General features: G+C 45.1%; 1 protein-coding gene across 5 annotated transcripts in view; it reads right to left on the reverse strand.

Annotated features, from left to right (window-relative positions):
* Positions 8,910–13,462, reverse strand: part of PMEPA1 (prostate transmembrane protein, androgen induced 1) — a 63,077-nt gene continuing 58,524 nt past the window's right edge. For all 5 annotated transcript variants that reach the window (NM_199171.3, NM_199170.3, NM_199169.3 and 2 more), the window contains exon 4: positions 8,910–13,112. In NM_199171.3, coding sequence (NP_954640.1) covers positions 12,567–13,112 — 546 coding nt within the window. In that variant the 3' untranslated portion in view covers positions 8,910–12,566. The remainder of the gene's footprint in view (positions 13,113–13,462) is intronic.

Below are 13,462 nucleotides of genomic sequence, written 5' to 3' on the forward strand. Positions count from 1 at the left end.
TTTTAAATAAATTTTTTTTCAGAATTATATTTTTGAAATTTCGATCTTTTGGGATTGTAAATTTTGGGATTTCAGACTTGGGTGACTTTTATCTTTTAAGATTTCAACATTCGGGACTGTGTCTTTGGGATTATGATTGGCTCTCAAACAACACATTCCTAAATAACCAATGAGTCAAAGAAGAAATGACAAGGAAAATTAGAATATACTTTGAGATAAATGAAAGCATGAAACATACCAAAACTTATAAGATGCAGCTAAAGCAGCACTTAGAGAAAACTTTTAGCACTAAAATGTAAAGATCAGCAAAGAAGAAAGATCTCAAATGAACAACCCAAGTCAACACCTGAAGAAACTAGAAAAAGGAGAATAATTTAAGCCTAAAGCAAATAGATGTGAAAATAAAAATCGTAAAACAATTTTAAAAAAATCAACAAAACCAAACCCTGGTTCATTAAAAAAATCAATAAAGTTAATAAACCTCTAGCTAGGCTAATCAAGAAAAAAGAGAAAAGACATAAACTACCAATATCTGAAATAAAAGAGTCATCATCATTACTGATTCCATGGACATTGAAAGGATAATAAAAAATATCAAAAATTGCCTGGCGTGGTGGCTTACACCTGCAATCTCAGCACTTTGGGAGGCTGAGACAGGTGGATCACTTGAAGCCAGGGTTTTGAAACCAGCCTGGCCAACATGATGAAACCCCATCTCTACTAAAAATACAAAAATTAGCTGGCTATGGTGGTGCATGCCTGTAGTCCCAGCTAAGAGGGAGGCTGAGGCCCAAGACTCGCTTGAACCCGGGAAGTGGCGGTTGCAGTGAGCTGAGATTGTGCCACTCTACTCCAGCCTGGGCAACAGAGCAAGACTCTGTCTCAGACAAACAAACAAACAAAGTAAAAAAAAAAACAAACAAAAAACAAATTCTAAACCTACAAATTTGGTGACTTAGGTGAAACAGACCAATTCCTTGAAAGATAGAAGCTGCAAAAAACTCACACAAGAATAAATAATCTGAATACCTATGTCAACAAATAAACTAATTTATAATTAATAACCTTCCAATAAAGAAAGCATCAGGCTCAGATGGTTTTCTTTGGTGAATTTTGCCAAACATTTAAGGAAGATATGATACAAATTTTCTACAGTCTCTTCCAGAAAATAGAAACAGAGGAAACATTATGTAAATCATTCTATGAGGCTAGAAGTACTCTATTAACAAAAGTTTATAAAAACTTCACAAGAAATAAAAACTATGAAACAATATCTTTTTTGAACATAGAGCAAAAATCCTTAACTAAATAATGGCAAATTGAATCCAACCATGTATAAAAAGAATTATACACCATGACCCATGACCCAGTGGTATGCAAGACTGGTTTAACACTCAGAAAACCCAACATCATCCACACTAACAGGCTAAAGAGGAAAAATCATATGATCATATCAGCGATACAGAAAAAGTATTCGACAAAATCCATTATCCATTCTTGATAAAAGGTAGTAGGAATAAAGATGCAATAGACGGACTGTGTATCCCCAAATGTATATGTAGAAATCTTAACTCTTAAGGTGATGGCATAAGATGGGCGCAGGAGGAAAGAGCTTTCATGATTGGGATTAGTGCCCTTATAAAAAAAGATTTCAGAGAGATCTCTCACTCCTTCCACCATATGAGTTCCCAGCAAAACGACAGCTGTCTATGTACCAGGAAGCCCTCCCCAGACACTGAATCTACCATGGCTTTGATCTTGGGCTTTCCAGCCTCCAGAACTGTAAGAAATACAGTTGTGTTGTTTTTAAGCCACCTAGTCTATGGCATTAATGTCATAGCAGCCCAAGTCAACTGAGACAAGAGGAGAACTGCTTCAGCTTAATAAAGAGCAGCTATACAAAGAACTTACCATTAACAGTATACTTAATGGTGAGAAGCTGGATAGCTTCCCTGCTAAAATTAGGAAGAAGGCAAGGATAACCTTCTCACTAGTTCTGTTCAGTATTGTTCAACATTGTACTGAAAGGCCTCGGTAACTACCTAGGACAATAAGACAATAAAAGGAAATAAAATGTGTACAGATACAGAAGAAATAAATAAAACTGTTTTTGTTCATAGATGACATTATTGTCTACATAGAAAATCCTAAAGAATCAACAACAACAACAAAAAGTACCTGCAACTAATAAGTAATAATAACAATGTCTTCGGGTATCAGGTTAATACAAAAGCTAATTACTTTCCTATATACCAGCAATGAACAATTAAAATTTGAAGTTAAAAATATCACTCAAAACAGCACCAACCAAAAATGAAATACTTAGGTATAAATCTAGCAATATATAAGATCTATATGTCTAAAACTACAAAATCCTAATAAAAGAAACAACAGATCTAAATAAATGGATAGTCTGTGCTCATGAATTGGAAGATTCAATATTATTAATGAGTCAATTTTTCCCAACCTGATTCATAGAGTCAATACAATCCCAATAAAAATCCTAGCAAACTATTTTGTAGATATTGACAAACTGATTCAAAATTGTATATTGAAAGGCAAAATATCTAAAATAGCCAAGACAATAATGAAGAAAAGAAAAAAGTCGGAGGGCTCACACTAACTTATCTGAAGACTTACTATAAAGCTGTATCCATCAAGATAGCATGGTATTGGCAAAAAAGTGGACAAATTGATTAGTGGAACAGAATAGAGGTCCAGAAAGAGACTACACAAATATAGTCAATTGATCTTTGATGAAGGAGCAAAGGAAATTCAATGTAGAGAGGAAAGTCCTTTTTAACAATTGGTCCTTTTAACAATTTTAACAATTGGAACACTTGAATATCATGTGCAAAAACATCAACCTAGACGCAATGCTTACGCTTTCCCAAAAATTCACTCAAAATGGATCCTGGACCTAAAACACAAAACCATAAAACCTTGAGAAAGAAATATGGGTAGAAAATCTAGGTGACCTTTGGCTTGGTGGTGAGCTATCAGATATAACCCGAAAAGCATGATCCATGAAAGAAAAAATTGATAATTATTGATAAATTGGACTTTATTAGGATAAAAAATCCTGATCGGTGAAAGACAATGTTAAGAGAATAAAAAGACAAGCCACAGATTGGGAGAAAATATTTACAAAACACACATCAGATAAAGGACTTGTATCAAAAATATACAAAGAACTTGTGAAACTCAACAATAAGGAAACAAACAACCCCATTTAAAAATGGGCCAAAGATCTGAACAGATACCTCAACACAGAAGATATACAGATGGCAAATAAGCATATGAAAAGATGCTCAAAATCATTTGCCACTAGGGAATTTCAAATTAAAAAACAATAAGTTATCATCACACATCTATTAAAATAACTAAAATAAAAAGAAAACCTGACTATACCAATGCTGGCAAAAATATGGAGCAACAGGCGTTCTCATTCTTGCTGGTGAGAATGCAAAATGGTACAGCTACTTTGGAAGATGGTTTGGTAGCTTCAGACAAGGCAAACATAGTCTTACTATGTAATCCAGCAATTGTGGTACTAGGTATTACCCAGAGGATCTGAAACTTATGACCACAAAAAAAGCCTGCATATGAACATTTTAGCAACTCTGTTTGGAATTGCAAACTAGTGATTATGAAACAACAAAAATGTCCTTCAGTAGGGGAATAGATAAACAGAACATGGTATATTGATACAATAGAATACTATCAGCAATGAAAGCAAATGAGCTACCAAGGCACAAAAAGACATGGATGAATTGTAAATGAATACTGCTAAGTGAAAGAAGCTAGTCTGAAAATGTTACATATTGTATGCTTCAATTACTTGACATTCTGTAAAAGGCAAAATTATAGTAATAGTACAAAGATAAATGGTTGCCAGGGGATTGGGGGGATGGTAAAGGGGAGAAGAGATTCATTAGGTGAAAAATGGGAGATGTTTAGGCCAGTGAAACTATTCCATAATGATGAGGTAGGAGGCAGGACTTGACTCCAGAAGTGGGGCTCAGACACTAGGCCAACCTGAGGACTAGCTAAAACAGGGATGGGGTGGAAGCAGCTTTCCATGAGACACACCACCAGTGTGCCATGTCAGTTTGCCATTACCGTGGCAACACCTGGGAGTTACTGCCCCTTTCCATGACAATGACCTAACAACCCAAAAGTTACCACCCTTTTCCTAGAGATTTCTGTGTAAACCACCCCTTAGTCTACACGTAACTAAAAGTAGGTATAAGTACGATTGCAGAACTGCCCTGAGCTGCTACTTTCAGCACACTGCCTACAGGGTGGCCCTGCTCTGCAGGAGCAGTCATGGGGCTGTAACACTTTTAGAACTCTAATAATGCTGCTTCAAAAAAGCTGTTTTCATCTACCCTACCACTGACTCACCTTTGGATTCTTTCCTGGGTGAAGCCAAGAACCCTTGCAGGCTAAGCCCCACTTTGGGGTTTGCCTGCCGTACATCAATGATACCTTAATGGTAGATTTATGACACTATGCACTTGTCAAAATCCATAGAACTTTGCAGAACAAAGAATGAACCTTAATGTATGTAATTTTTTTAAAGATTAGGAGGTTGAGGGAATCTCAGGGTGAAATGCAGAATGTGACCGAACAATCTAACTGCATTACAAATGTAGGGAACAACCTCACCGAAAGGGAAAGGGTGCTAACCCAAGTAACTTTGGAAATGAGTGGAGTCTGTAAGACTAAAGACAAAAGAAACTGTACATAAAAACTGGATGCTAGTTGATAAAATTATTTCCTATGAGGATACCAGTTAACAATTCTGATACTGCTACCTAAGTACACAGGAACTGGATAATTAAATAAATGGATGATGAGTGATGGGACCCATGTTTCTCACTGCTGGGGTGAGAGATTGCAGATAAGTAAGGGGAGAAGGCTAGAATAATTCATGCGGTGACAGATTAGGATTGGAGATAGCAGTATGAATTCATGTTTAGTTTAATTTAAATACAGATGGTTACATATACAAATATTTATAAATATATGTATATGTATATATAAATATAAATATTTATAAATATAAAATATTGATAAATATATGTATAAATATGGGCTACTATACACACATATATTTCCTTGCTAAGTCAGCTGAAAGGGTCTAGAAACAATGGAACCCATAATAGCATGAACACCTAGAGTTTGGAATGTCCTAGAGACTTGTTGAATGGCTTTGTCCAAAATGCTGATAGTGATATGGACAATAAAGTCCAGGCTGAGGTGGTCACAGATGGAGATAAGGAACCTGCTGGGAGGTGAAGCAAAGGTGACTCTTGTTATGTTTTAGCAAAGAGACTAGCAGCATTTTGCTCCTGCCCTAGAGATTTGTGGAACTTTGAACTTGAGAGAGATGATTTAGGGTATCTGGCAGAAGAAATTTCTAAGCAGCAAAGCAGTCAAGAGGTGACTTGGGTGCTGTTAAAGGCATTCAGTTTTAAAAGGGAAACAAAGCATAAAAGTTTGGAAAATTTGCAGCCTGACAATGCGATATAAAGGAAAACCCCATTTTCTGAGGACAAATTCAAGCTGGCCACAGAATTGGCATAAGTAATGAGGAGCTGAATGTTAATCACCAAGGCAATGGTGATGGCAGCCCTTCCCATTATAGGCCCAGAGGCTTAAGAGGAAAAAATAGTTTAGTGGGCCAGCCCCAGGGTCCCTCTGTTGGGTGCAGTCTAGGGACTTGGTGCCCTGCATCCCAGCTGCTCCAGCCGTGACTAAAAGGGGACAAGGTACAGGTCGGGCTGTTGCTTCAGAGGGTGGAAGTCCCAGGCTTTGGCAGCTTCCACAGGGTGTTGAGCCTGTGGGTGTACAGAAGTCAAGAATTGAGATTTCAGAGGATCTATGGAAATGCCTAGATGTCCAGGCAGAAGTTTGCTGCAGGGGTGGGGCACTTATGGAGAGCCTCTGCTAGGGCAGTGCAGAAGGGAAATGTGGGGTCAGAGCCCTCACACAGAGTCCCTATTAGGGTACTGCCTAGTGGAGCTGCGAGAAGAGGGCCACCATCCTCCAGAACTGAGAATGGTCGATCCACTGACAGCTTGCACTGTGCACCTAGAAAAGCCACTCAACACCAGCCTGCCCATGAAAGCAGCTGGGAAGGAGGCTGTACCCTGCAAAGCCACAGGGGTGCAGCTGCCCAAGGCGGTGGGAGCCCACCTCTTGCATCAGCATGACCTGGATGTGAGACATGGAGTCAAAGGAGATCATTTTGGAGCTTTAGGATTTGACTGCTCTGCTGGATTTTGTACTTGCATGAGGCCTGTAGCCCCTTTGTTTAGATCAATTTCTCCCATTTGGAACAGCTGTATTTATCTAATGCCTGTACCCCCGTTGTATCTAGGAAGTAACTAACTTGCTTTTGATGTTATAGGCTCATAGGCAGAAGGGGCTTGCCTTGTCTTTGATGAGACTTTGGACTGTCGACTTTTGAGTTAATGCTGAAATGAGTTAAGAATTTGGGGGACTGTTGGGAAGGCATGTTTTGTTTTGAAATGTAAAAATGGATATGAGATTTGGGAGGGTTCAGGGGTGGAATGGTAAGGTTTGGCTGTGTACCCACCCAAATCTCCTCTTGAATTGTATCTCCCACAATTACTACATGTCATGGGAGGAATCTGGTGGGAGGAAATTGAATCACGGGGATGCGTCTTTCCCATGCTGTTCTTGTGATAGTGAATAAGTCTTACAAGATCTGATGGTTTTAAAAATGGAAGTTTTGCTGCACAAGCTCTCTTCTCTTGTCTGCTGCCATGTGAGATGTGCCTTTCAGCTTCTGCCATGATTGTGAGGCCTCCCCAGCCACCTGGAACTGCAAGTCTAATAAACCTCTTTCTTTTGTAAATTGCCCAGTCTCTGGAATGTCTTTATCAGCAGTGTGAAAACAAACGAATACAGCAGAGATCAGAAAACTTTGGCAAAGGGTCAGATTCTAAACATTTTAGGCTTTGTACATCGTATGGCCTTTGTGGCAATTACTCAACTCTACCATTGCAGCACAAAAGCAGCCATAGGTGACCTGTAACTAAACTGGTGTGGCTGTTTTCCAATAAAGCTTTATTTACAAAAACAGGCAGCTGGGGATTTGGTGTATGGGCCAATGTTTGGTGACCCCTGGTCTAGAGGGACGACACAAACAGCCCAGGAGCCCAGCAGGGCCCTGACACTCCTTAGAGCATCTTGCTATCGAAATAATGCATTTCCTAGTCACTGAAATCCCTGTTTGCTTATTTTTTGTTACTTGCAGCCAGAAGCCCCCAGACAGATACAAGTGTGCCAGCTCCTGTGCCCACTCCTCCCCTGTTTCCTACTGGCTGCACTGGGGTGGGTGGGGGAGGCCAGGGGTGGACAGGCAGCTGGATGGTGCACATCTGTCTACTCATATCTGACTGTCCATCCATGGGAAGATTTTGAGGAAATTGGATGAGGAAACAGCGTGGGTGGGATAGAGCATCCCAACTCTTCCAAGCCAGTGACACAGAAGGCCGGCTGACTTCTCTGCCTCGGTTTCCATGTCTGAAGAATGGGGTGTTGTGAGAATGGAAGCAGTTGTGGAGTGCAGGCCTGGTCCCTCCTGGGAGCACGTGTTTATCCCCCATGGACAATGGACGTGAGTCTGGCCCTGACCTCAGGCAGTGCAGTGACCTTGGGGAGGAGCCATGAACGCCACAAGCAGTGCAGTGACTGCCTCAGTAGAGCCGGCACAGAGAAGCTGGGGGCATCCTGGGAGGCTTTCTGGAGAAGGTGCTATCAGAACTGGGTCTGGGTCTGAATGATGTCAGGGCAATGTGGGCTTTGAGAGAAGGGGATCCCAGGCAGAAGGGGCAGCAGTGAGCATAGCCACAGGGAGAAAATGGGGTGTGTGGGGGGAGAAACCGGTGCATGTTGCTGGAACATCTGGGAGATGCCAGAGAGAATGGGAAGGCTCTGCAGGGCCTTGTGAGCCTCGAGGGAGGTCAAGGCTGCAGTGAGCTATGATCATACCACTGTACTCCAGCCTAGGTGACAAGGCGAGATCCCCATCTCTAAAAAAATTTTATTTACAAGTAACGCATGGATTTTTGACAGCAAGGGGGTTCAGCGTGCCTTGAACCCCTCGTTGTTCAAGGGCCAAGTGTAGTAAAATAAATGAGACAGGGTCTGTAGTGGGTGCTGCAGGTGCCCCCAGGTCCCACTGGAACCCTTTAGGGAGTCTGTACAGCCCTCCCCCTGTCTCCATGAGCATTGCTAGTGGCTGGCTTCTGGGAGGACAGTTCTGCAGCTTCTGAGACTCACTCCTCCATCTTGTGCACCAGGAGCCAGAGGGGTCTGGGACTCTACCTTTCCAGGGTCCAGAGCCCCCACAGGTCCTCTTGGGATCAAGCTGAGGCTGGAACTCTGTCCACAAGTGTCTCCCTTGCTCAGGTTCTCCCCCTCCTTGATCCTCTTCCCTGACTCCCTTAGCGGAAGCCCCCTGGGAGCACATCCTTAAAACGTCCTAATCCCTTACACACAAGGCCACGTCTTGGGGTTACTTCTGGAAGAACCCTACCTAAGACAGTTTCTTTTTTCCTTGCAGACCTTATCAGAGCTTTCGTCATGCTATGGTGAATAATGATTTCCCGACGGAGGAAAAGTATGCAGTGTTTTGCAAAATTGTTTAACAACGACCACCCCCTTTACCAGAACCTGCCTGAGCTAGTGTTTTCACTGGGCTCCCTGAATGCTGCCTGAACTAATAAAACAGAAAGTTTGAACGAACTGTTCAAGGTTGCCCAGCAGCTCCGAGGGATCGCTTCGCCTCCCTTGAATGCACCCGGGGTTATTGTAGAAAGGGGTGGGAAGTGAGAAGAGCTACATTTGGCCAAAGAAGTGAAAAAGCCTCATTCCAAAGAATTGTAAAATTTATTGTATAAGTATTGCAGCTTTTCAGAATGTCATCATTGCCACTAATGATTACTGATACACAACAAGCAGTTTCTTCAGGCCTGTGGATTGGCATCCAAATACAGAGTCTTACGCAGCGGGGACGTGGGTGCGCGCCCCGCATGCCACGGAAAGCTTACATAAGTTTAACTTGAACAGAGCTTGGGAAATGGGGCTGCAAAGGAGAGCAGTTCCCACGCCAGGAACCAACGTGAAAGCATTGGAATCAGCACAACAGCCATGGAATCAGGCAGGCAGGGGAGGACGGGCTGTGTCCTTCTGAGCTCTATAGTACAGCAAGATTTCAAGCAGTTTCCAGAAAAACAACAACAACGACATTTTCTTTCCTTATCGACGGGATATTTTATGGTTCTGGAAGCTTCGTGTTGCACATAGGAAAAAAAATTTCTCTGAAACGTACAATTCATAGGGACGACCAATGAGGACAGGGAATGAACCCGGCTCTCCCCCAGCCCTGATTTTTGCTACATATGGGGTCCCTTTTCATTCTTTGCAAAAACACTGGGCTTTCTGAGAACACGGACGGTTCTTAGCACAATTTGTGAAATCTGTGTAGAACCGGGCTTTGCAGGGGAGATAATTTTCCTCCTCTGGAGGAAAGGTGGTGATTGACAGGCAGGGAGACAGTGACAAGGCTAGAGAAAGCCACGCTCGGCCTTCTCTGAACCAGGATGGAACGGCAGACCCCTGAAACGAAGCTTGTCCCCTTCCAATCAGCCACTTCTGAGAACCCCCATCTAACTTCCTACTGGAAAAGAGGGCCTCCTCAGGAGCAGTCCAAGAGTTTTCAAAGATAACGTGACAACTACCATCTAGAGGAAAGGGTGCACCCTCAGCAGAGAAGCCGAGAGCTTAACTCTGGTCGTTTCCAGAGACAACCTGCTGGCTGTCTTGGGATGCGCCCAGCCTTTGAGAGGCCACTACCCCATGAACTTCTGCCATCCACTGGACATGAAGCTGAGGACACTGGGCTTCAACACTGAGTTGTCATGAGAGGGACAGGCTCTGTCCTCAAGCCGGCTGAGGGCAGCAACCACTCTCCTCCCCTTTCTCACGCAAAGCCATTCCCACAAATCCAGACCATACCATGAAGCAACGAGACCCAAACAGTTTGGCTCAAGAGGATATGAGGACTGTCTCAGCCTGGCTTTGGGCTGACACCATGCACACACACAAGGTCCACTTCTAGGTTTTCAGCCTAGATGGGAGTCGTGTACAAACCTTGGCAAAAAAAGGTTGGAGGAGCAGGAGTAACCTCACCAAGCTAGGCACCTCCCTGGTAGAGACAGGGTGAGGACGCGCGAGGATGATGGGGTGTCTGAAAAGCAGGAGCCCTTGGTGGACCCTGGGAGGGGATACCAGTCCCAGGTGAGTGAGGCACTGTCCGGGAACGTCCTCACCGAGCGACGGGAGTGTCACTGCTTCTTCAGTAAGGCACTAGAGACGCGTCACATAAAGGAAAGATACGTTTTAATCATCTTTACAAGTGCGTCCTTGTACCTTTCGGGATAACCTGTACTGATTTCTCTGCAGGACCTTTTCAAAGAATCCTCTTCAAGAGAGAAACAAATTTTAGGCTGACGACTTCACGGAGAGGCAGGTTCTGCTGTTGCCAATGAACGAGAACTTTCTACTAGGCTGGCGGCATGCAGAGCCCACGTCTGTCAGCTGCCACCTTCGTAAAGCACACGTTTCACATGCATGAGCTCGAGTGGCTAGAACTTCAAAACTGTGCTCAGGTTTTTGTTTTGGAAGTTATAAAAAAGTTGCTCACAAACAATAGTTATTGCCTTTTATATCTTTTATGTTAGTCTACTAGTCAGCATTCTGCCCAAAATGGAAAGCCACTCCCATGGGAAGGGAGGGGGTAGCAGCTGGGAGTCTGCTCTTCCAGCTGGGGGCCCTCCCACCCCCATGGGGAGGAAAGACGTCAAGCTCCAGCCACTGGCCCCGGTGGGTCCCAAAGCCCCACCCCTCATGCTCTCCTCTGGTCACCTCTATTTACGCTCACATGCCCCTTCCTGTCCTTCACCTGCACGTCACCAGCAGGTCCCGCCAACCCCAAATCTATCTGGTGAAAACCTGGAGAACAAGAGCGGAGTCTAAGAGAGATGTAAATGAAAACACAGATCAACAGACACACCAGAAGGGAAGCGTTGTTTCCGCGGGGAAAGGAGATGGAAAGGGGAAGAGAAGGTGAAGAATTCTGCGCCCGAAGCTCGGGTTGGTGTTTGCTCAACTGCTTTACTCATTTTAACCCTTTCACCTATCCTGGGAGAAACCCAGGCTTGTCACCTTTTCATGTTGGGTTGTTTATTGGCCTCTTAAGTGAGAATTGATCCGTGAAGGGAAACAGACAGGAGGAGGTCAGATTGCGAATACCTGGGGCTTCCTAGGGTCCAGTGCGGCAGTTACCGCACCTGCCTTCACCGGTGAACCTTTAGCCAGCTGAACAACCACCAAAGCGCCCTGCAGAGACAAGTCATCGAGCCCTCTGGCATGTCCCTGGTAGCCCGGGCACCAGCCGCTGCGGCTTGTGAGGGGCACCATGCTCCACCCCACGGGGACCTTCACAGTTGGAAAAAAGAAGAGGAAAAACTAATTCCTTCGGTAACAGTTTATTTTCATTTTTGGGAAAGGCAAAACCACTACCTGGAACTCGGTGCCTCCGTGGTTAACTTTCCTATTTTGCTTGTGATTTAAAGGCTGTTCTGGGTCAGGGGGGAAAAGGTGTCTCCTTCGGTAGGGAATATATAACGTGGTGATAACCTGTCACTAGGCAGAAGCATCCACTCTGCAGGGACAGTGGCCCCTCGGGAAAGCCCGCCGCTCCTGGCCAAGGCCTCTCTGCAGACTCCACGGGGGCTCACCCTCTGCCGTCAGGCGACTCTGAAATTCCGACATTTCTCCCTTAAAGTCTCAACAGACACAAGAGAAGTTTCCATCAAGCAAGCACTGACATATTTATATTAAAAAATAGTGCAAAATCTCAACATTTATATAAATAACTCTAAACCCCTGCTTTGTAATTTTTTTCTTTACAAGGTAATACACACTTTCTGACTTGGCACTCAAAAATTGCCATTTTTTTCCTCTTCTAGTTCAGAAAACAACTTTTTTTTTTAATAGGCCTCTTCTAATACAAAAATACTCCTGCCCTCGCACATACAGTTTCTCTTATCTTATATATATTTATATATATAATATTGCAGATCTTTAAACAAAGGTTTTGTGCAAATATGTCTTTAAAGTTAAGTGAAATTATCATAAACAAAAGAAAATAAGCATTCACGCACGCAGCTCAACTAGAAACAAGAAAGACTACTGTAGAAATTTTTTTTCTTTTGCCTTCAAGACACAGCTCAACAAAGAAACGTGGTTTTTTTTTTTCTTTTTTCTTTTTTTTTTTGCAAGCTCTCTTAGCTTGTGCATTCAGACCAGACATCACATGTAAATATTTATACACAGGGAGGTGGGAGGGGAGGGCCACACGATGCGTTGCTGCGCCCCCCGCCTTCCTCTCACTCCTCTTCTAAGAAGCGCGGAGTGTTCTGCCTTTTCACCTACGCAGCCCCAGCCCGGCCCCCCTGGGGACCCTAGAGAGGGTGTCCTTTCTGTTTATCCTTCTCTTTGCTCCAGATGGCTGCGCTCTCTAGGGGCGCGATGTGTGTGTGGTGGAGCCGGGTCCCCTCCAGCAAGGAGGGCGGCCCACTGCTCTGCTGGTGCTGGAAGGAGGACCCCGGGTAGTGGCCGATGACCTCGCTGTAGGTGGGCGGCGGCCCCTCCATGCGCCCGCCGCTGCCGTAGCACGTGGCGCTGATGCCCGAGTTACTGCTGGGGGGGCAGGGGCCGCCCAGCCTGGCACTATCCATCAGGTCACTGTCGAAGATGGTTCTGTTTGGGGGTGCGCGCACCGACTCCCGGTTCAGTTCCAGCTGCTGCTCGGGGTCCCGAAGCTGGAGGGTGCAGGGGCCCTGGTAGGGTGGGGGCTCCTCCCCGTCTGACAGCGAGATGGTGGGTGGCAGGTCGATCTCGTGCTGCAGGTACGGATAGGTGGGCTGGAAGCGGTGGAAGCGCTCCCGCTGGGCGAAGGGCGGCACGGCCAGGCGGTCGGTGGGCCGAGGCGGGGCGTAGACCTGCGGCTGGAGGAAGCAGAGCGGGAGTGAGGGAGGGCGGCTGTCTCAGGTGGGTTGTCCAGAAGCGATCCTGAGACTGGAGTTCTGCTGCATGGGACTTGGCTCTCTGGGGAAAGGGAGAGGGCAGCAGGGCTGGCGGGGGCGGGAGCCCAGAGCCTGATCCCGCGGGGGCCCTGGCCTGGGGGGCAGCACTGCAGAGCTGCACCGCCCTCCTCCAAACAGTGGCAGCGTCCGTGCTCCCGTGTGCAGAGAGCAGAGAGCTGGGCTGCTCCCTCAGGGGCAGGGAGCAGATGATCTCCGGCAAGGAGGATCCCAGCAGCAAGGGCACTGCAGAGGAGGGCGGAGGGGTGAGCCTT

The sequence above is a fragment of the Homo sapiens genome, chromosome 20 (assembly GCF_000001405.40).
Source record: "Homo sapiens chromosome 20, GRCh38.p14 Primary Assembly".
Lineage (NCBI taxonomy): Eukaryota > Metazoa > Chordata > Mammalia > Primates > Hominidae > Homo > Homo sapiens.